This window comes from Homo sapiens, chromosome 1 (assembly GCF_000001405.40).
Source record: "Homo sapiens chromosome 1, GRCh38.p14 Primary Assembly".
Classification (NCBI taxonomy): Eukaryota; Metazoa; Chordata; class Mammalia; order Primates; family Hominidae; genus Homo; species Homo sapiens.
In genome coordinates, this window is record NC_000001.11 from 17,387,197 (window position 1) to 17,409,208 (window position 22,012).

The 22,012-nt window shown below is 53.0% G+C and overlaps 2 protein-coding genes and 1 non-coding gene across 4 annotated transcripts in view, besides 2 other annotated features; 2 read left to right on the forward strand and 1 right to left on the reverse strand.

Moving 5' to 3' along the window:
• PADI6 (peptidyl arginine deiminase 6) overlaps positions 1–14,503 on the forward strand; it is a 29,504-nt gene extending 15,001 nt beyond the window's left edge. The window contains exons 7-16 of the mRNA NM_207421.4: positions 1,185–1,363; positions 1,581–1,684; positions 4,918–5,029; positions 6,779–6,886; positions 7,104–7,258; positions 7,755–7,911; positions 8,344–8,467; positions 9,875–9,945; positions 11,490–11,651; positions 14,009–14,503. Coding sequence (NP_997304.3) covers positions 1,185–1,363; positions 1,581–1,684; positions 4,918–5,029; positions 6,779–6,886; positions 7,104–7,258; positions 7,755–7,911; positions 8,344–8,467; positions 9,875–9,945; positions 11,490–11,651; positions 14,009–14,242 — 1,406 coding nt within the window. The 3' untranslated portion in view covers positions 14,243–14,503. The remainder of the gene's footprint in view (positions 1–1,184; positions 1,364–1,580; positions 1,685–4,917; positions 5,030–6,778; positions 6,887–7,103; positions 7,259–7,754; positions 7,912–8,343; positions 8,468–9,874; positions 9,946–11,489; positions 11,652–14,008) is intronic.
• Positions 6,525–7,724: an enhancer, noted in NCBI's record as "BRD4-independent group 4 enhancer chr1:17720217-17721416 (GRCh37/hg19 assembly coordinates)". NCBI's record gives its function as "activates an origin of replication core promoter dependent on BRD2, P300/CBP, MED14 and CDK7 cofactors, and independent of BRD4, by STARR-seq in HCT116 cells {active_cell/tissue: HCT116}" and the evidence as "EXISTENCE:reporter gene assay evidence [ECO:0000049][PMID:35650434]".
• Positions 13,639–14,575: an enhancer, noted in NCBI's record as "H3K4me1 hESC enhancer chr1:17727331-17728267 (GRCh37/hg19 assembly coordinates)". NCBI's record gives its function as "activates a minimal SCP1, AML or CMV promoter by ChIP-STARR-seq in primed H9 embryonic stem cells {active_cell/tissue: H9 hESC(primed)}" and the evidence as "EXISTENCE:reporter gene assay evidence [ECO:0000049][PMID:30033119]".
• RCC2 (regulator of chromosome condensation 2) overlaps positions 19,564–22,012 on the reverse strand; it is a 32,918-nt gene continuing 30,469 nt past the window's right edge. For both annotated transcript variants that reach the window (NM_018715.4, NM_001136204.3), the window contains one exon: positions 19,564–21,998. In NM_018715.4, the coding sequence (NP_061185.1) occupies positions 21,894–21,998 (105 nt within the window). In that variant the 3' untranslated portion in view covers positions 19,564–21,893. The remainder of the gene's footprint in view (positions 21,999–22,012) is intronic.
• On the forward strand, positions 19,565–20,186 carry RCC2-AS1 (RCC2 antisense RNA 1). Its single transcript, NR_170323.1, has 2 exons — positions 19,565–19,808; positions 20,121–20,186.

Below are 22,012 nucleotides of genomic sequence, written 5' to 3' on the forward strand. Positions count from 1 at the left end.
ACTTTGGGAGGCTGAGGCAGATGGATTGCCTGAGCTCAGGAGTTGGAGACTGGCCTGGGCAATGTGGTAAAACCCCATCTCTACTAAAAATACAAAAAACTAGCCGGGCATGGTGGTGCACACCTATAGTCCTAGCTACTCAGGAAGCTGAGGTACAAGAATTGCTTGAACCCAGGAGATGGAGGTTGAAGTGAGCCGAGATAGTGCCGCTACACTCTAGCCTGCTCAACAGAGCAGGACTCCACCTCAAAAAAGAAAAGGAGGGGGGGGGGCCAGGCGTGGTAGCTCACACCTGTAATCCCAGCACTTTGGGAGGTCCGAGGTAGGCAGATCACGAGGTCAGGAGATCAAGACCATCCTGTCTAACGAGACGGTGAAATCCCGTCTCTACTAAAAATACAAAAAATTAGCCAGGCGTGTGGTGGTAGGTGCCTGCAGTTCCAGCTACTCAGGAAGCTGAGGCAGAATGGCCAGAATCCAGGAGGCAAAGCTTACAGTGAGCTGAGATCACGCCACTACACTCCAGCCTGGGCGACAGAGCAAGACTCCCTCTCAAAAACACCTTTAGGATCTAATTAGCAAACGGACAACCACCACGTGTGGTCAACTTCCTTCTGATCTCTTCTGTGCATGGTTTTGTATTTAATGACCTAAAACTAGGAGACAGGCTTAACATGTATAATCATAAGAACACTTGGTTTCTTCAGAAAACTTGATGGAGGCATAATCCATCCAATAAATGGTTCTCACTGACCTTTCTAGCATCAGTAAGTGATTTTTTTCAGATGAGGCTGCTGAGCCCAGCCTGGGACAGTTTCTCACCTTTAGGACTCTGATATTATCGCAGGAGTTGGATTCATGGGCCAAAATGTAGAACCACCTACCCTGAGGCTTCACACCAGTCAGGAGCCTTGAAGGCATCATCACCTGAGCTCCAACTCCTGGCATGTAATAGGTCTTCAAGGAATACTGGTGAATAACTGGCCATTGCTTGTGTATGAACATCTGGTTGTCTACCAAGACCTGAATGCTAGAAACGGGGATGGCTGAGCCATTTCAGCTCCAGCCCTCCTGGAACTCACAGCCTTGCATCTGATATGAGGAATGAGCTGGTACCTTGACCATCAAATGTGACCGGCACCAGGTTACTTCAGTGGCTGGTCCATCCCTTCTTTCTCTCCTAGAAGACAACTCCAGTACCTTTGAGTTGGTGCTGGGGCCCGACCAGCACGCCTATACCTTGGCCCTCCTCGGGAACCACTTGAAGGAGACTTTCTACGTTGAAGCTATAGCATTCCCATCTGCCGAATTCTCAGGCCTCATCTCCTACTCTGTGTCCCTGGTGGAGGAGTCTCAAGACCCGGTATGTCCCCATAATAGATGGGTCCTCAGACTAGGATGCTCCGGTGGGGGAAAAGCCATCTCCCACAGTTGGGCAGAGCTTGAGGTTTGCTGGGGGAGAGCTGCAGAAGGCAAGTGGGGCCCAGCTGGGGGCCGGACTGAACGGCCGGAACCCTGGGGTAAGAGGGGAGCGAGTAAATGTGGAAGCAGGTTGCTAACAGGACCTTGTCTTGTTGCAGTCAATTCCAGAGACTGTGCTGTACAAAGACACGGTGGTGTTCCGGGTGGCTCCCTGTGTCTTCATTCCCTGTACCCAGGTGCCTCTGGAGGTTTACCTGTGCAGGTGAGAGACCATCAGGCTGACTGTGCCAGGCGGTTCTCATAACTGGCACCCTCTTCTTTCTATATGCAGGGCAGGGTGGGTGAAGATGACTAGGACCTCTCACCAGGAGAGTTGAAACCCTTCTGTCTGAGCTGTCTGGACCTGCCCCAAGACAGTCCAATACATGCCTGAATATTCCCAAAGATGGGCATGGAACAGTGAATGAGACAGTCCCCCCATTATGTGAGGGCCAAACGGCATGGTTTTAAACAGTACCAAGTGCTCTAAAGCAGGGTGAAGATGGAGAGGTCAGGATGAGAACCTGTCCCAGGGACGATGAAGCTCCTACGGAGCCAGAGAACAGGTGTGAGCCCAGGAAGGGGCGGTGTGGGGATGGGTGAAAAGAGCAGAGCCCTGTGGGCCCTGGGTGTTACGGTGAGGTAGCTGGGGCCATACCTACTCTAAATACAGTGGTGAAAGCTTTCTGTCACCTGGATGCCTGCAGGAAGATGGTACTGCTCGCCCACTGCCACTTAGGGGCCCTGGTTCCTTTCAGTCTTGTTATGCTTTCCCCTGGGGTGGCTGCCTCCTCTCTGGAGGCTGAGTGCACACATCCTAGGTCCAGGCCCGGGCCCCAGGAGGGAGAAAGAGCCAAGATTTGGACACTGCAACCTATGGTTGCTGCTAGTGGTCTGGAAGTCTCCTGAACCACTTCTCACATGCCAAAATCCTGAACACGCACGGGGCCACGTCCGGCTTCAGGGAATCCAGGAGCAGTCTCTAGCTATGTAGCCACATGCCTAGGGAGAAAAGGAGATAGGATCCTGAAGGCAGAACCAGTGGGAAGCCAAGGGTTCTGTCTGCATGATCACTCTGGCCACATGGAAAGTCAGGTACAGATAAAAGGTGGAAGACCAGTCTAGACACAGCATGGCTCAAGCCAGGGTGGCAGGAGCAGCCTTTAGTTGGGATTGGTCCGCAGGTAGGACACCCCCGCCCCACTCGCTCCACACCGGCCGCCTCCAGATTACTACCACCACGTTGCCCTTTATTGCAAATTCCTTAGGTGAAGGCTTTTTTGTTTTTTTAAGGTAGGAGGCAAAGGATAATGCTGATGGAATGCTCTAGCAGGGATGGGAAACACTAATAGGAAAAGGTGGCCAGTGTGGTGGCTCACACCTATAATCCCAGCACTTTGGGAGGCCGAGGCAGGAGGATCACCTGAGGGTCGGAAGTTCGAGACCAGCCTGGCCAACATGGTAAAACCCCGTCTCCACTAAAAATACAAAAATTAGCCAGATGTGGTAGTGCATGCCTGTAGTCCCAGCTACTCAGTGAAGCTGAGGCAGGAGAATCACTTGAACCCAGGAGACAGAGGTTGCAGTGAGCTGAAATAGCCCCACTGCACTGCAGCCTGGGAAACAAGAGCGAAACTGTCTCAAAAACAAAAAATAAAATTGCTGGGTGTGGTGGCTCATGCCTGTAATCCCAGCACTTTGGGAGGCTGAGGCGGGCGGATCACCTGAGGTCAGGAGTTCAAGACCAGCCTGGCCAACATGGTAAAACCCCGTCTCTACTAAAAATACAAAAAACAATTAGCCAGGCATGGTGGTGCACCCCAGTAATCCCAGCTACTCGGGAGGCTGAGGCAGGAGAATCTCTTGAACCCAGAAGGCGGAGGTTGCAGTGAGCCAAGATTGCACCACTGTACTCCAGCCTGGGTGACAGATAAGATTCCATCTCAAAAAAAAAAAAAGACTTCTACCCCTCTTCCAGGCTCCGTGGGTGTAGAAGCCAGACAGCTTTTCCAGGGCAGGGCTCCTGGGGAGTGTGGTCCTCAGAGGAATAGCAGGCTTCAGGATGAGAAGGTAAAATCTCAGAAAGTCTGATGGGATTCTGCTGATGGCAGATACAAAAGACATAAAGCAGAGAGATGTGGTATCTCGAGTATTTGAAGACGGGTTTCTCACTCACAGGAGGCATCTACTTGTTCTTCAAAGAAACCCAAGTCTTCCATACAGTGTGATATTCAGGCATGGTTTGACCCCATATAGCTGCATATGACCTGCAAGACTGAGCCGACACACCCTTCCCCCAGTAAGCGTCAGACTGTTCTAGACCTTGTCAGGCTGGTAGCTCCCTGTGGCTTTGCATAGACCCAAGAAATAGGTTCTTTGGAGCAGTAGCATAGATACTATGAATGTGCTATGCCAGTAGTTACATTGCTGTATTCTATTAGTAGCAACATGAGCTTTGGACCTGAAGCCGGACTACAGTCCCAATTTCAATATCTCCCAATATTAGGGCCTTGCTGACCTCCAACTTTTGAGGACCTGTTTGTTCCGTTTGTTTAAGATAATTTATTATTTTTTCTTTTTGAGATGGAGTCTCGCTCCGTTGCCCAGACTGGAGTGTAGTGGTGTGATCTTGGCTCACTGCAGCCTCCACCTCCAGGGTTCCAGCAATTCTCCTGCCTCAGCCTCCCGAGAAGCTGGGATTACAGGCATGTACTGCCACGCCCAGCTAATTTCTGTATTTCTAGTAGAGATGGGGTTTCACCATGTTGGCCAGGATGGTCTCAAACTCCCAGTCTTAGGTGATCCGCCCGCCTCAGCCTCCCAAAGTGCTGGGATTACAGGCGTGCGCCACTGCGTCCGGCCAGATGAGTGGTCTTAACATCAGCCTCACACACTGCTGTTTCCCTTCAAGGAAGGGATGGCCACTGTAGATCTGTGAGCCTGATGCTGTGCACAACGGCTTGAAGACCCCAGGGCTCAAGACCCACCCAACGCCACACATATAAAAATGACAACCATGCATGGTGGCAGGCGTATAGTCCCAGCTACTGTGGGGGGCCGAGGCAGGAGACTCACTTGAACCCAGGAGGTGGAGGTTGCGGTGAGTCAGATCATGCCACTGCACTCCAGCCTGGGTGACAGAACGAAAGGAAGGGTACTTGCAGAATGTGACCGAAGGGTATAAACAGAGCAGGCCTTGGCTACCAGGGAAGGGGCCGCCACTGGCACTTCCCAACCTGGCTCTGCCATGGGCAAAGCTGAGTAGTGTCAGACAAGATGGGCTCTGAGCTTCTGGCTTGTGCCGAGGTCAGGGATGGTTGCTCTGTCGACCTCACGGGCAGGGATGTAACCTCTCCTGGTGAGAAGGATGTGTTCTTCCTCTCTTGGCACAAGGAGGTCATAACCAGTAAGGGACCTTCGAAAGCCTTCCCAGAACTGGCTTCTCTCCCATGGCAGGGAGCTGCAGCTGCAGGGTTTTGTGGACACAGTGACGAAGCTGAGTGAGAAGAGCAACAGCCAGGTGGCATCTGTCTATGAGGACCCCAACCGCCTGGGCAGGTGGCTCCAGGTAACACCCCACCTGGGAACCCACCTGTCGGGGAGGGGTGGGGAGACTCAGCATGTGCCACCTAAGAGGAACTTCACAGGCTTCTGGTTAACCTTAAAGACCGAAGCCTTGATAGGGGCGGCCCTGTTCTTAGGACTTCAGTGGAGGCTCAGATGAGGATTTGCCTGAGTCATGGCCACTAAGGAATAGTTAGAGTCCAGCCTCCTTCCCATTCCAGAATGGACACGTGTTCAAGACCACAGAACCCTAACCCCCAGGCCCCGGAAGGCTCTGATACCTTTGGCTAAGGCTGTGAGAGCTGGGCCACTGCCCTGGGGTCCCGCCTGACTCTGGCACAGCACCAAGTCTAGAGCCCCGGTCAGCCTTCGGTTCTAGAGCTCTGTCCTCTGCAGATGAGTGATCATCACATGCTAGGCACGCCATCCTGAGCACCAGAGATAAACTGGAACATATGCTGTCCCATGTTAGCAAGGATAGAACTTTTAAGTGCTATGAAATTTAGACAATGAGATGATACAGTGATTCATTAGACCAAATGAGGCAGTTTAAGAATAGTTGGGAAAATCTGCAAATGAAACTTAAGGAAACAAGGAGCTGGCCATGCAGAGATTTGGGGCAGGGGTGGCCAGGATTAAAAGGAGTTCCTGGCCGGGTGCAGTGGCTCAAGCCTGTAATCCCAACACATTGGGAGGCTGATCACTTGAGGTCAGGAGTTTTAAAACAGCCTGGAAAACATGGCAAAATACTGTCTCTACTAAAAAAATACAAAAATCAGCCGGGCATGGTGGCGCGCGCCTGTAGTCCCACCTACTCTGGTCACTGAGGCAGAAGAATCGCTTGAACCCAGGAGGCGGAGGTTGCAGTGCACCTAGATCACGCCACTACACTCCAGCCTGGATGACAGAGCGAGACTGTCTCAAAAGAAAAAAAAAAATCTGGGGTTGTGCTTGGAGGTCTTGAAGAAGGCTGATGCAGACAGATCACAGTGAACAAAGGTGAAAGGCAGGGCTACCTCCTGGTTAAGGTACCTTTTAAGCTAAGGACAAACAAGAGACACTCAAAGCATGAATCGGGAATGAAAGGTTATAGTTCAGGTTTTCAAAAGACCCCTCTGGCTAAGATGTAGGGAACAGATCTTAAGAGTAGGCAAGAATAGAAGCGAAACTGGAAGGCATCACAGTGGCATAGGGTGGAGACACGGTGGCTTCCTGAGTGGCACCAGCGCAGAGCTGACTCAGAATGTAAGCCAGTAAGGCTTGTTAATGGATTCTTTACGAAAGAAGAAAGGAAGAATCTGGATGCTCAAGTCTTTTTCGCCCAGACTGGAGTGCAGTGGCGCGATCTCAGCTCCACTGCAGCCTCTGCCTCCTCCTGAGTAGCTGGGATTACAGGCATGAGCCACCATGCCTGGCTAACTTTTTGGTTTTGTTTTAAGTAGACTGTCTCACCATGTTTCCCAGGCTGGTCTTGAATTCCTAGGCTCAAGTGATCCACCCACCTTGGCCACCCAAAGTGCTGGGATTGCAGGCGTGAGCCACCACACCTGGCCATGGATGCTCAAGTCTTAAACCTGAAGAGTAGGGGAGAGAGGGATCGGAGAGCCTTCAAGAAGGGGTGATATCTGAGCTGGGTGTTGAGGGTTGAGCAGGAGTTGGCAGGAAGGAAGGGGGTTCTTACCGTACCTTTTCCGTAAATGGGGTCCGGGGAGATGTGTGACTGGCAAACAATCTGTCTTCCTCTCCATTCCAGGATGAGATGGCCTTCTGCTACACCCAGGCTCCCCACAAGACAACGTCCTTGATCCTCGACACACCTCAGGCCGCCGATCTCGATGAGTTCCCCATGAAGTACTCACTGGTGTGGAACTTGGTTTGGCTAATCTGAGCTCAGTCCAATCTCTCAGGCCTGGGGCCTGCCTAGAAATAATGGGGCACCAAGTGGGGAGAGGGCCCAGGTGGCCTCTGAGGGGGGAGGGGACGTGGAAGTCTACCTGAGAGCCTGGATTTAGGGATAAGACTGGGGCCTAAAGCCATCCCCTACTAACACCCCTTCCCTGGCTCGGTCTCTCCCCCAGAGCCCTGGTATTGGCTACATGATCCAGGACACTGAGGACCATAAAGTGGCCAGCATGGATTCCATTGGGAACCTGATGGTGTCCCCACCTGTCAAGGTCCAAGGGAAAGAGTACCCGCTGGGCAGAGTCCTCATTGGCAGCAGCTTTTACCCCAGGTGAGCCACAAAGCCAGACGCCTCCAAATGAAAGGAAGGGACCATGGTCGTTCCCCTGGCCCCGCCTGCTTCCCATAGCACCTCAGCAGGTCACACACACTGGACCATTTCTTAAACTGAAGACATTTGAGCTTTTGATTCACGTGGGAGACTAAAGATGAGAATAAACCATTTATTCTTTGATTCCAGGGTTTAAACTGAAACAAGTGAAATTTGGTCCACCAGGATGTCATTTCCAAGAGATATGTGGTTGGATTTCTTGGTGGCCATAAATCCAAAATGATACTTGTGCCCGGGCTTGTCTGTCTAGAAACACTAGGCTCTGTTCTGAGTGGGGTCAGAGTAAGGGATTCGTAACCAACACATCCGCTATGGACCGGCCTCTTTCACACAACGGTCAGAGGCCAGCTCCCTGGAGGCAGCATGACACCAAGTGGCGGGTGACCAGCCCTGGGCCACACTGGCTCAAGAGCTGTTCTTTCCATCTTCCTTCTAGCGCAGAGGGCCGGGCCATGAGTAAGACCCTCCGAGACTTCCTCTATGCCCAGCAGGTCCAAGCGCCGGTGGAGCTCTACTCAGATTGGCTAATGACTGGCCACGTGGATGAGTTCATGTGCTTCATCCCCACAGATGACAAGAATGAGGGCAAAAAGGTCTGCTTTGGGGTCTGGAGAAGGGACATCTGACCCTTGCCTTCTGTTGGGGAATCTTGGAAGATTCTGGAGAGAAAACTGGCTTTTTCTTGTTTTTTTTTTTTTTTGTTTGTTTTTTGAGAGTCTTGCTCTGTCACCCAGGCTGGAGTGCAGTGGCGTGATCTCCGCTCACTGCAACCACTGCCTCCCGGACTCAAGCAATTCTCCTGCCTCAGCCTCCTGAGTAGCTGGAATTACAGAAACATGCCACCACACCTGGCTCATTTTTGTATTTTTAGTAGAGATGGAATTTCACCATGTTGGCCAGGCTGGTCTCGAACTTCTGACCTCAGAGGATCTGCCTGCCTCGGCCTCCAAAGTGCTGGGATTACAGATATGAGCCACCATGTCCAGCTGAGAAAGCTGGCTTCTGACCCAAGTTCTGTTTCCCAGGGCTTCCTGCTGCTCCTGGCCAGCCCCAGTGCCTGCTATAAACTGTTCCGAGAGAAACAGAAGGAAGGCTATGGCGACGCTCTTCTGTTTGATGAGCTTAGAGCAGATCAGCTCCTGTCTAATGGTAAGGGAACTCCCTTTCCACAGAACAGAACTGGGGTCTTCCTTTTTCCAGGGGTCCTTTCTACATAGCCATTCTGTCACGCTTGGCGTAAAGGATGCCAGGGAAGCACAGAAGCTGTTGGAATTGCCATATTAGAACGTCTTATTTCTGGGCTGCTCTAGTGGTACTACAACACAAGTAGACCAGATGTTCTGGGATGGCCTGGAGGCTGTTTGGATGTATTTGAAGGGGGACTCACTTAGTACATAGGTGGCCCCAAGTGGGGGGAAAACGGGTGTTAACAATGCTAGTGCCTGGATTTATTCAGGGCATGTTGGATTAAGTATCTAGGGACTGGGACTTTGTGGGTCTCCTGGTTACATTAAGGAAACACACAGGTGGACAAGCAGAGGTGGTGTGGCTGGTGCCATTGCACTTCTGATCTAAAGGCTGTGGGAGTGGGCTGGGCATGGTGGCTCACACCTGTAACCCCAGCACTTTGGGAGGCTGAGGCGGGCAGATCACCTGAGGCCAAAAGTTCGAGGCCAGCCTGGCCAACATGACGAAAGCCCATCTCTACTAAAGATACGAAAATTAGCCGGGCATGGTGGTGCATGCCTGTAATCTCAGCTACTCGGGAGGCTGAGGCAGGGGAATCGCTTTAACCTGGGAGGTGGAGGTTGCGGTGAGCTAAGATCGTGCCATTGCACTCCAGCCTGGGCCACAGAGCAAGACTCCATCTCAAAAAATAATAAAGGCTGTAGGAACCCAGAAAGGGGCTGGGGGTATTAGGTTTTTCTAGACCCTCAATACTCAAAGTGTTATCTGAGGGCCAGCGCACCTGGGAGCTTGTTAAAAATGTAGAATTTCCACCCTGCTCCACACCTCCTGGATACTCAGCCTTTGGGGTTGGGGCCCGGGAACTCCTGGTCATAGAAGCACCATGGAAGGTGACATCTGCTGAGCATGAACCACATGACAAAGACTATCACCTCAGAGCTGGCAAATAAATTGGGCATCCCTGTCCCAAAGATCAGGCAATTGAGGAACAAAGGTAATGTAACCTGGAGAGGGTCACAGGCAGAAAGTGCCAGGTTGTATTGGCATAAGGGGAGTAGGGGCTGAAGTCATCCTAACAAGCTCTAGGCTGTGTCCCTCAGCCTGGCACAGGCTATTCCCCCTCATGCTGGGGACAGAGTGGCCAGTGGCAGTAAGTCCTGCCTGGGAGTTCTGGTGTAGACCCTGGTCAGTCCCCAGAAGGAAGATATTGGACCTGAGGGTGTGATCCCTGGAGATAGGCCAGTCCTCTCGCCATGGTCACTGGCCCAGGAATGCACCCAGGTGGCTGGGCCTGGCCCGAGTGTGCCCAGCTCTGGGCAGTGCTGCCATTCCCTGACCAGCAGGCCTGCTGCCCGCTTCTTCCTACAGGAAGGGAAGCCAAAACCATCGACCAACTTCTGGCTGATGAAAGCCTGAAGAAGCAGAATGAATACGTGGAGGTAGGACCAGTGTGAAGGGGGCCATCCCCAAGAAAGAGCTGGTGCCGCAGGTCTTGCAGGAAGGTTTCCACCCACCCCTCCTGAGGGGTGAAGTGTTGGGCGGCGGGGGGCAGCTGCCTGCCACCCTTTCTTCCAGGTCTTGATACAGGCCCAGGTCTGGGGCTAGAGCTGGCCATATGCCAATGTAGGGAGACTAGAGGAGTAAGGAGTTAGGTCTCTGGAGTCAAACACAGCACGATGTACCTTTATGCTTGGAAGAGGGCTGGAAGTGGGTAACACAGCTTTCTATGGTGTCAGATGGCTGAGGACCCAGGGTGGGACAGGGGCAGGGAGGAGCGCCATGGCATGTCGGGACCGTTGACAGATATTACTTGCAGATACTGTCAGAGGGAGTTTACTTTGCTATGACTATGCAGCTGGATCTTTTCCCCCAAGCTGGGAAAGCCCTGATTATCCAGGTTCCTAGCTGAGAGCCAATGATGGCCCAAGCATTTTGCGAGATACCTCACTACAAACCCTGCAGATAGCCCTATAAAACTACAAACCCTGCAGATAGCCCTATAAAGTAAAACACCTCTTACATATGAGGGTAGTGAGGCACACAGTAAAACCGCTAGCCCAGGACAATCATTTGGGAAAATGAGTCTGAACTCCCAAGTTCATGTGTTGCTCATTATACTCAAGCTGCCTGGGGTCCATTTCCCGGAAAATGACATAGCTCCGCAGCCTCCTTGAAGAAGCCGGCTCCTCACTTCCGAGAAGCTGAGTATCAGACTCAAATAGACGAGGGACTACTCAATGCTTTCTGGATGAAGTGGCCCATCACAGCAGTCCCGAGGATGGTGTTCAGGGTCACCAAACTTCAGAGATCTTAGAAGTGAATCATTGGCTATAAGAAGCAGAGTCTCCCCAACTTGTAGAAGGAGAAGCTTAGGCCCAGAGAAGGGTAATTTCTTGGCTGAGGTTGCATGGTCAGCAAAACTGCTTCTCTCACTGGGTCCTTAACATTCCCAGGAATGTTCCCAAGGAATGTTCTATGCCCCGCACAGTGCATGGGTACCCTGTTTTGCAAGAACAGCCCCCCTGGCATAGCAGGGTGGGTGCCAGCCAGGCATGGGGCTGAGACAGCATCTCCCAGCCCCTGGCGACAGCTTAGGTGTGTTGGGTATGTGTCTGAAGCCTATTTCAAGACCTAGGGAGACAGGTGTGTTGGGTTATGTCTGAAGCCTATTTCAAGACCTAGGGAGATGCCTGGGTATTGGGCTCAGCTGGTCTGGGTTGAGAAGTGCCAGACGCTGTCTAGCCATGGGATCCTGGACTAAAGACTAGGCCATTCCTGAGCCCCTACTTCCCCATGTGAAAAGGGAACTGCCTATTTCGTAAGGCTGGTATGAAGTGTGAGGCTCCTGGCACACAGCAAGTGATGGGGATGGTAGTGGTGTCAGGCCATCACCTACCTTCAGTATGGAAGGAAACTGGTTTTAATTCCTGATGAGCTCTCCTTGCTCCCCCGCCCCCCCCCCCACCCACCCACCCACCCACAGAAGTGCATTCACCTGAACCGTGACATCCTGAAGACGGAGCTGGGCCTGGTGGAACAGGACATCATCGAGATTCCCCAGCTGTTCTGCTTGGAGAAGCTGACTAACATCCCCTCTGACCAGCAGCCCAAGAGGTCCTTTGCGAGGCCATACTTCCCTGACCTGGTGAGGGGCGACTGCGCATCCCTGGGTGGGGGAGGGCCTGTCCAGGCAACACTGGCTGCCACCTCACTGTGCTGGACTGCAGATATGGTGGACAGCAGATAACGGTACCTATGAGGAAATGGGAGGGAGACCCCTTCTCCCCCATCTCGGTTAGGGACGCCCCACCCAGAGAGCAAGTGTACAGGGCCTGAAGGCTTGGAGGTTCCCCAGGCAGTTACTATGGGCCAGGCCCTGGGCCAGGTGCTTTAGGAGCCTCAGTGAGCTGCGCCCCCAGTCTAAAAGGGTGAACCTGTGAGGCCCACTTCGGATGGGGTGCTATGCAACCCAGAGTCGAGGTTGCCGCGCATCTGCCAGCAGCGAGGCCTTGAGCAACCTACCTCAGGGTGGGTCTTCCTGTCCGCTATCTCCAGGGTCCAGGGCAGCAGTGTCTGATACATAGAGGTACATCAGCCCTTAAAATAACATTCTAGGCCAGGCGCAGTGGCTCATGCCTGTAATCCCAACACTTTGGGAGGCCGAGGCAGGTGGATCACCTGAGGTCAGGAGTTTGAGACCAGCCTGACCAACATGAAGAAACCCTGTCTCTAAAAATACAAAATTAGTTGGGTGTGGTAGCACATGCCTGTAATCCCAGCTACTCAGGAGGCAGAGACAGGAGAATTGCTTGAACCCCGGAGACAGAGGTTGCATTGAGCCTAGATCACTCCATTGCACTCCAGCCTGGGCAACAAGACTGAAACTCCGTCTCTAATATTTATTCTGCTTGGCTGGTCGTGGTGGCTCACCTGTAGTTCTAGTACGTTGGGAGGCTGAGGTGGGAAGATCACTTGAACTCAGGAGTTGGAGAGCAGCTAGGGCAACATAGTGAGACCCTGCAACTTTAAAAAAAAGAAAAAAAAAATGCTGGGGCCAGGGTGCAGTGGCTCATGCCCGTAATCTCAGCACTTTGGGAGGCTGAGGTGGGTGGATCACTTGAAGTCTGAAGTTCGAGATCAGCCCTGCAAACATGGTTGAAACTCTCTAGTAAGAATACAAAAAACTAGCTGGGTGTGGTGGTGCATGCCTATAATCCCAGCTAATCAGAGGCTGAAGCAGGAGGATCCCTTGAACCCAGGAGGCAGAGGTTGCAGTGAGCCAAGATTGCACCACTGGACTCCAGCCTGGGCAACAGCAAGACTGTCTCCCAAAAAAACAAACAAAACAAAACAAAAAATGCTGGGTGTGGTGCCACATGCCTGTAGTCTCAGCCACTCAGGAGGCTGAGGCAGGACAATTTCTTGAGCCCCGGAGGTGGAGGCTACAATGAGCCACTGCACTCTAGCCTGGGTAACAAACCAAGACCTTGTCTGATAAACCAAACCAAAAAAAAAAAAAAACATTCTGGGGCTGGGCGTGGTGTCTTACACCTGTAATCCCAGCACTTTGGGAGGCCCAGGCAGGCAGATCACTTGAGGTCAGGACTGCGAGACCAGCCTTACATGGAGAAACTGTCTTTACCAAAAATACAAAATTAGCCAGGTGTAGTGGTGCATGCCTGTCATCCCAGCTACTCAGGAGGCTGAGGCAGGAGAATCGCTTGAACCTGGGAGGTGGAGGTTGCAGTGAGCGGAGATCACCCTGTTGCACTCCAGCCTGGGCAACAAGAGCAAAACTGTTTTGTTTTTTTGTTTGTTTGTTTTTGTTTTTTAAATTCTGTTCCTACTTATTCTAAACCAGAAGTTATAGTCAAGAGTGGGGCTGTGAGTACAAGAGGTCCTGGCTTCACCAAGCCTATGCCGACTGTGGCTCACATCTGAACTTTCTCATGTAACAACTGACCCCTTATATAGGTGTGTAAAATGAACTGAGGCATTTGAGTGCCCCAATTCTCTAAACACCTGCTGACCTCTTCCCTGGGTCCTAGGGACACAGGCCCTGCATGCTCCAATTGTACATGGGTGTCTTCTAACTTGATCAGCTCAGTGTGGTCCGGCAGGGGTGAGTAACGGTAAGAAGCTGCTTTGAGGAGGAGTTGAGATACAAAAGATGCGCAGCAGTCAACTGACAAAGCGGGGGTGGGGAGAGTGTTTCAGTGGAGGCAGCAGCCATGTGTTGTATCCAGGTGACAAGAGGCCAGAATAATCGAAACGTAGAAACTAGAGAAGTTGACAATCCCAGACCTTGGCCAGGCAGGATTTTATCTGGCTGTTGAGAAACAGCCATTGTAGGGCTAAGCAAAAGTGAGCTGGGTTTCACTGACCTGGAGGAGGCGGCTGCCTGCCTGCTACGCCTGGTCTGACCGCAGAGAGGCAGGTGGGCGGCTGGCTTTCAGGCCTCTGATCCCTGTCCAGGCCTCACCCACCCTGTCTTTCTAACAGTTGCGGATGATTGTGATGGGCAAGAACCTGGGGATCCCCAAGCCTTTTGGGCCCCAAATCAAGGGGACCTGCTGCCTGGAAGAAAAGATTTGCTGCTTGCTGGAGCCCCTGGGCTTCAAGTGCACCTTCATCAATGACTTTGACTGTTACCTGACAGAGGTCGGAGACATCTGTGCCTGTGCCAACATCCGCCGGGTGCCCTTTGCCTTCAAATGGTGGAAGATGGTACCTTAGACCCAGGCCCTGGAGCTGCCAGCTCTGCCCCAGCGTGGATGGCCCACTGTCACCATGCAACAGCATGATTCTTTGCCCAGTAGAGGAGGCTGGAGAGTCCAGGCAACAGAACCCTTTCTTCCCTGTCTGCCCCGACCGACCCTCGGACCCAGTAGGATGGCAAATGCCGCCAGCTTGAACCCCTATGGGGAAAAGATGCAAAAGTGTTCAGCCAAGTGACGTTTACTAAATAGCCAATAAAGGGCTGGTGGGTGTGAATGCATCTTGGCAGTGACCTCCTTGTTTGGGGAGGGGATAAGTGACAACTGAGGACAAGGCTGAGCTGAGATACCTATGGCCATGCTGGCCTGCTTGTGTGGGGGGAGAGACTTGGCTACATCAGTTGCTGTCCTTCCCCTCATCTCTAAATTATGTCGTGGCAGGAAGTGGTTGGACTTATCCAAATGGACTTAGATTATCCAAATGGATTTAAGATTATCCAAATGCTGCTCTGGTTTAAGCAACTGGGACAAGCTGGGTCTAGAGTCCAGGGCCCAGGCTAGAGGAAGGTCGAGGGCCTCCCCCTTGGGACTGGTAGGACCTGGAGGGGGCAGGCCCACGGTGGGGGTGGTGCCATGCACGGCAGGCAGCTGGCCTCAGCAAGTGGAGGCTCTGGTCTCCTTGGGTCTGTAGGTGTGGCCTCTTTGAGAAGGCACAGCAGGGGTGGACCTGGGCTGACCCTCAGCCTGAAATGTCCCCTCCAGGGCCCAAAGCCACATATTCCCATCTGACCACCCCTGTGTTAATGGTACAGGGATGCTGTTAAGCTTTAACTGGCGCTGTGGCTCCCACCCTGCTCCTCCTGGATGATGATGACTCTAGGACACTCTAATCCTCAGGGTAGAACCTGAGAAGGGAGCCCTGTGTCCATGTCCCACAGGGAGTTGAAGGCAGAGCTGGGCCTCAAACTAGCCCCCTTCCTAACACCTGGGGCTCTGTGGGCAGCAGGCAGGACCTGGCCAGCCTCTGCCAGCTGCTGGGGCAGTGGAGGAGGGTCATCCTAAGGAAGCGAGGCAGAAGCCAGGGTTGGGGCAGCAGGGCTGGTCTCTGGATCAGATGTGGGTTTTTATCCAAGAGCTGTGCCCTGGTGTGCCAGCTACCCCAGGACATCTTACGACATCTCGTTAACCTGCCCATGGTGGTGCAGAGTTTATGGACTACACTAGAGACCTCTTGTTGTATTCATGGCTCTGACCCCTATACCAGCCTGGGACTGACACAGACCAGGCCTTCAAATATGGGGAGGGATGGATGAGCTCATCTGCATTTTCAGATAGTCTAGAAAAGCCAAAAGAAATAGAGGACTCTGGACCCCAAGGGCTTGGGGCTCCATCTCTAGGGAAAAAGGGGAGAGGAAAGCCCTAGGGCCAGAAGGGGGACAAAAGGTTCACTCTTCCACCCCCATGGGCTTTTCCCAGGGAACTTGCCCACCTCTACCAAGGGCTGCCTTAGGGTGGATGAATTGGTCCCTCCTCTGACCCTAACTAGACCCTCACCCAGAGCTTTTCAGGTCAGCCCTGGGCCCCTCCCGCCCCACCTGCCTAAGGGTCCTGCAGGAAATCTTGGCAGCTTGACACCCTTCTCTCCTGTTACCTCCCAGGCAGCACCATCCTGATAGCACCTGGAGAAGCACCCCCCCAGCCCTGGCTGTTAGCAGACACCTGCAGCAGAGAGCTGGGTGTACTTGGCTTGCACAGTGTTATAAACGTCTCTAAGTTAGGCACTGACAATTTACTCAAAGTCTGGATTTCCAGCTCCTGCTGCCAAGTCTTTAGACCTGACCACACTGGGCCCGAGGCTGAAGACTCACTGGCCACACCCTCTAGACAAAGATGTGCTCCAACAGGCCCCAGTCCCCATCCCTCCCCACTGTGTTCCCCTGCAAAGGTCAGTGGTCATTTGGCGCCATGCTTGCACTACTGCTGTAGGGAAGGAGAGGAAATGCTCCCTGTACTGGCCAAAGGCAAGAAAACAAGGTAAGTGGGCTCTGTGCCTCAGTTTCCTCACCAGCGCAAGTGGGTAAGAGTTGTGCCTGTCTCGAGGTTGTTCTGAGGACTGGAGTTATTTACATAAAGCCCTAGAAAGACACGTGGCACCTCTCATTCCTGAAGGCTGGGAGACCACATCTCTGTAGAAGTAAACAAAACCCTCCATTGCCTGCATAGCAGACACGGGGCCAGGCGCAGTGGCTCATGCCTGCAATCCCAGCACTTTGGGAGGCTGAGGCAGGTGGATCATTTGAGGCCAGGGCTTCAAGGCCAGCCAGGCCAACATGGGGAAACCCCGTCTCTACTAAAAATGCAAAAATTAGTCGGGGCATTGTGGCATGCACCTGTAATCCCAGCTACTTGGGAGGCTGAGTGGCTGAGTTGAGAGAATCACTTGAACCCAGGAGGCAGAGGCTCCAAGATCATGCCACCGCACTCCAGCCTGGGCAACAGAGTGAGACTTCGTCTCAAAAAAAAAAAGAACAAAAATCACAGGAAATGCTGGCGGGGTGGGGGGTGGGTGGGAGAGTGCTGGGGACCCAGTGTGGGGGCAGCTGAGGGTTTTGGAGATTCCAGCCCTCCCATGTGCCTCCCAACCTGCAACAGGCCATCTTTTAGTTCTCTAGAGGCACCGAGTCCTCTCCCCTCCAGGCTGCTTCAGTGCCCAGAATGCTTTTAGCAGGGGGCGACCCCCATTTCCCTTCCAAAGCCTTGAAGGGGCTGTTCCTGTCTCCCCTTCCCTCCTCCCTGCATCCCTGCCTACTGAGTCCTCCCAGTCTGGAGAGTGGGCTCCATTGCTATTGTCTGGTGTGAACACCAGCTAAGCTGGATCCTGAGACCCTCCAGCTTGACCATCCCGCGTGGCGCTTCCGCAGGTCCCCGCCCTTCAATGTGGGGCTGGGGCAGGTGTTCGGGGCAAAGCAGGGCTGGGTAGGAACCGGCAAGTCCCCTTCCCCATTCGCCATCCTTCCAGCCCTTTTCACTCTTCCCTGGGAGCTTAAGGAGCCGCTTAGTGTGGAGGACATTGGCCAGAAAGGCTGCTGGCTTGACGGGGCAGGACAATAGCAGGAGGCAGCAGCTTTGCAGGTGAGAAAACCCCAGAGCCAAAGGCCGGGCACGGTGGCTCATGCCTGTAATCCTAGCACTTCGGGAGGCTGAGGTAGTGGGAGGAATCACCTGAGTTCAAGAGTTCAAGACCAGTCTGGTCAACATGGTGAAACCTCATCTCTACTAAAAATACAAAGAAATTAGCCGGGTGTGGTGGCCTGTGCCTGTAATCTTAGCTATTCAGGAGGCTGAGGCAGGAGAATTACTTGAACCTGGGAGGAGGAGGTTGCGGGGAGCCAAGATTGTGACACTGCACTCCAGCCTGGGGGACATTAAAAAAAAAAAACCTCCAGAGCCGCCCGTGGGGAGCCTGCCTTCTCTGCCCCCCCGACTTCAGGAGGCTTCTCCCATCCCCCAGCCACAGGCCTGGCAGGCCCCGGCTGCTCTGTATTGGCCACCTACACTGCCCCTGGAAGGGCAGGTGAAGGTCTCCTGGATGTTCTCGAAGCTCTCAAGACAGCCCCTCCAGGGTGGCCACAGGTCACATGGGCTCCCTGTCCTCAGCCAGGGGCAGGCTGGGGGAGCAGGGGAGGCCATCTTTGTTACTAGGATCTTTGTGGTTCCAGGCACAGGTCTTCCTACCCGCCCCACTGTGTCCCTCAGCCAAAGCCATTTTCTCTCTGCACCCCACTTCCCTCTATAACACAGGAATAAAAAACAAACAGCCTTCCCTTCAAGACTGCCTGTGTGGCCGGGCGTGGTGGCTCACGCCTGTAATCCTAGCACTTTGGGAGGCTGAAGCGGGCAGATCACTTGAGGTCAGTTTGAGACCAGCCTGGCCAACATGGTGAAACCCCGTCTCTACTAAAAATACAAAAATTAGCAGGGCGTGGTGGCACTTGCCTGTAATCCCAGCTACTCAGGAGGCCGAGGCAGAATTGCTTGAACCCAGGAGGCAGAGGTTGCAGTAAGCAGAGATCACACCACTGCACTCCAGCCTGGGCGACAGAGCAAAGCTCCATCTCAAAAATACAAGACCGAGCGCGGTGGCTCATGCCTGTAATCCCAGCACTTTGGGAGGCGGCCAAGGTGGGAGGATCACGAGGTCAGGAGTTCGGGACCAGCCTGGACAACATGGTGAAACCCCATCTCTACTAAAAATACAAAAATTAGCCAGGCATGTGGTGGACACCTGTAATCCCAGCTACTCAGGAGGCTGAGGCAGGAGAATCGCTTGAACCCAGGAGGCAGAGGTTGCAGTGAGCTGCGATTATGCCACTGCACTCCAGCCTGGGTGAAAGAAACTCAGTCTCCAAAAAGACTGTCGGAGTGGACTGCAGGAGTCAGGGGCGAGACACACGACACTCAATTTGCAGCATGTGCCCAATACACAACAGCCAGTGTGTCAGCAGGGACGCTGCCCCCAGCAGTGGCTTCCCTGCCCACGGGGGCTCTTCCAGGGCAGGAGCATCTGATGGGAAGCTCCAAGCTGCCAAGGGGGGAGATGGGGAAACACCGTGTTTTACATTTGGACTGTCCTGCAACAGTGCACATGCTCCTTCTGCAGCTAACAGGCCATGGGAGACCGTTTCCTCCTCTCCCAAACTGGGCCAATGCCTGCCAGGAGGGGCTGGTCTGGACACTATTCAGCCAGTCAACACAAGGTGGCCTGCACTCGAGGTTCCAGGGATCCCAGGCATCTTTGCGGCTGCAGGGAGCCGGTGTCCTGTGCAAGGGTCTGGTCTAGGACTCTGCCCGGTATAGACTCAGCAGCAGCCTAGAAGGGAGAGTGTCCGTGATCTCTGAACCTACGACCAGCCTCCTGGTGCCCTCTGGTGGGCAGTTGGCCACAATGCCTGCACAGAGCAGCACTGGCCTGAAGCCACAGCCGGGGCCTGACCAGAGCCCCCTGCTGAAGTCTGGGGAGTGGGTGCACATGCAGTCACCGCGCTGGATGCCTCCCATGACTTATTTTTTTCCTCTCAAAGCCCCAGTGAAAATGCAAAGAACTCCACTTCTGAATTGGACAACTGAGGTACTGACTCTGTCCCACTCCCCTAGCATTTCATGGGGCAGAGTTGGGGGATCCACTCACTTCAACCAGTGCAGTTTAAACCTGGAAGCTCCCCTGGGGCCACATGTCTCCTGGCACCACCTTCTGTGGGTGCCAGGGCTTAGGAGGTACACATATAAGGAGTTAAGAAAAACAGAGCTCCGTTCCAACCGAAAAAGAAATGCAAAATCCAAGACAGTAGACAATGTTGTTGTTTATTTAAAATGTTTACTCCAAGAAATATATATATAAAAAAAATAATAAGACAATTACAGCACTAAACCAGGCACCTTCGACCAAATCACAACCTCCTCTTTGATTCCCCTTCACGCTAAGCCTCTTTCAAATTCTTTTTCCTGAGCTGGAAGACCAGTCAGATGCCCGCAGGGTCAGCGCCAAGCACATTCCCAACCGGGCAACTGTGTACCTTTCTCTAGGAGTGCACGACACCCTTCCCCCACAACTCCTTGTTTTAAAGGATTTAACCCATTAGGAAGCCCATTTTTCAATCTAAGCCAGAAGGAGCTGCGGGACAAGGCAGTCTTCACTTTGAAGGTCCCTTTCCTGCTCCAGTCCCTGGGCTAGGGTTCTAGAAGAGGCTGGCTGCCACGTTTACATGAGGCCACCGAAGATCTAAGTCCAGCTAAGCCCAGGGAGGCTCCTGCAAAGGCTGGGACCTCGGGTGCTGCGTCCTCAACCCTCTCGGTGACCACGGCTCAAAGGAGAGACCTCAAGGGTGCCAGGAGCACAGGTGCCTGGGCTGCATTCCAGGAAAGAGACCTGTCCAGGGAAACGGATCAGGCTGTCGCATGGAAGCTTACGTCAGAGATGGTGGTTTTGGGGTGATTTGGACAAATTAGGTTAGTTTAGCAAAGCTCTGAAGTAGCAGAAGCTTCTCCCCTGGACTACTGATTGAACACAGAACAAGAGATGCGCGTGGCGTCAGACTAAGTCTTAGAGAGATGCAGGCCAGTCTCCTCCCACAGGGCCTTGGGACTGGCAGGACAGACACTGCTACATGCCCTCCAAGGGCAGGAGTCACGGTAAGGAGCGACTGGGGTGGAAAATAGGGAAAAAAGCAACAACAACTACATCATTTTTGGCATTTTAACATGGAGACAGTGACAAGTGGTAACAAAGCAAAAGAAAAAAAAAACTTGAAGAGACCAATATTTAACTTTCCCATCCACCCAAGTCTCACACTTAAGTTCTAGTCCCATCTCCCCCATAAGCACCACTGAACTAAATATCTATTTTAAAGCACCCAAACCAGTCCAGACCCTCTGGAAACCAAGAGCCCCAGCCACAGCTGTCGCCTCTCTTGGGTCCAGGCGAGAGGAGGGTTCCGGGAAAGGCACCTCATAACTCACTCAGCGCAGCACACACGGCGGCGAGCTCGGGCACTTGACGAGGACGCAGGTGGCAGTCACAGCATCCGTGCTGACACGCAAGGAAGGGGACTCTTCGGTAATCCCAACTATTTGGTACCAGAGCCAAGCAAACGTGACTAAAGGGAGCTGGGTCAGCAGAACGGTACCCCGAGTCTCAGCAACAGGACGGCCCGCGCGAGGCAGGATCCAGGCGGGGGGGAGAAAAAGAGACCAAAGCACAAGGCGATCGAGGCTGGCACAGAAAGGGCTGATCCTTCTTGCAAGGACTGGAGAATGCACTTGACTGCTGGCTGGTCCATCTCTTAATTGGCGAGTGCGCGTGACAAGGCTCAGCCCTGGCTCCACAGGGAGCCACCAAGCTGACTCAACTGATACAAATGTTCCCACCTCTGCCCCACCCCCAAGTCCCCATGGTTCCACAATCACCTGATTTTCATTTGGACCTCTTTAACAGCTAAAGTAGATATAAATGGCTAAACACAGATCCCCAATCCCCCACCAGGGGGGACACGGCCGATTCTATAATGTCGCAGCCAGAAGGCTGTGGGCGTACAGGCAGCCAAGGGGAGAAACAGAACCGACACCGGCCTAGGCCCATCTGCAAGAAAAAGCGGAGAAGGAGTGACCCGGATGCTTCCGAAGCACGCGAGCGTGATTTTGGATGGAGGCGGGCCGGTGACTGCCTAGCTGCTGCCGGTTCCTGTAAGGGACATTTTTTCTGAGTAAATGGCGATTCCTCTTCCATGTGGCATCTGCTTGGATCACGATGCTAATTGTAACTGGAAAGGGGTGTTTTGGGGAGTGTATTCAGGAGAGGAAGAAAGAAAAAACTTAAAAAAAAAAAAAACCTAGATTGCTCAAAGTTTCTGCCTCTTTTGTAGGAATGGTAAATCAACTATGAGCAAGTATTTTAATTCAACATTAAGGGAAAAAAAAGGACTTTGGAAAGCATACAGAAAAAAAGGTAGTTAACGTTGGATCATGTGTAAAACGGAACCTCAGGGAGTCTAAACAAAAATGCACCTTCGGTCAACTTTTGCTTTTTTAAATTCCTCGTTTGACTTCCCGTCCCAGTGCACATGGAAATGACAGCTGCCGCGAGAGGTGTGGAGTCGGAGGAGTCTCCGGGAGCATCAGAGGGTTCGGGGGTTGTATTCTGGCAGTTTCTTGATCTTCTCTTTCTCAGTCTCACTTTCATCTCTTGCTATCACCAAGGAGTGTGAGTAGCCCATGGCGACCTGGGGGGACAAAT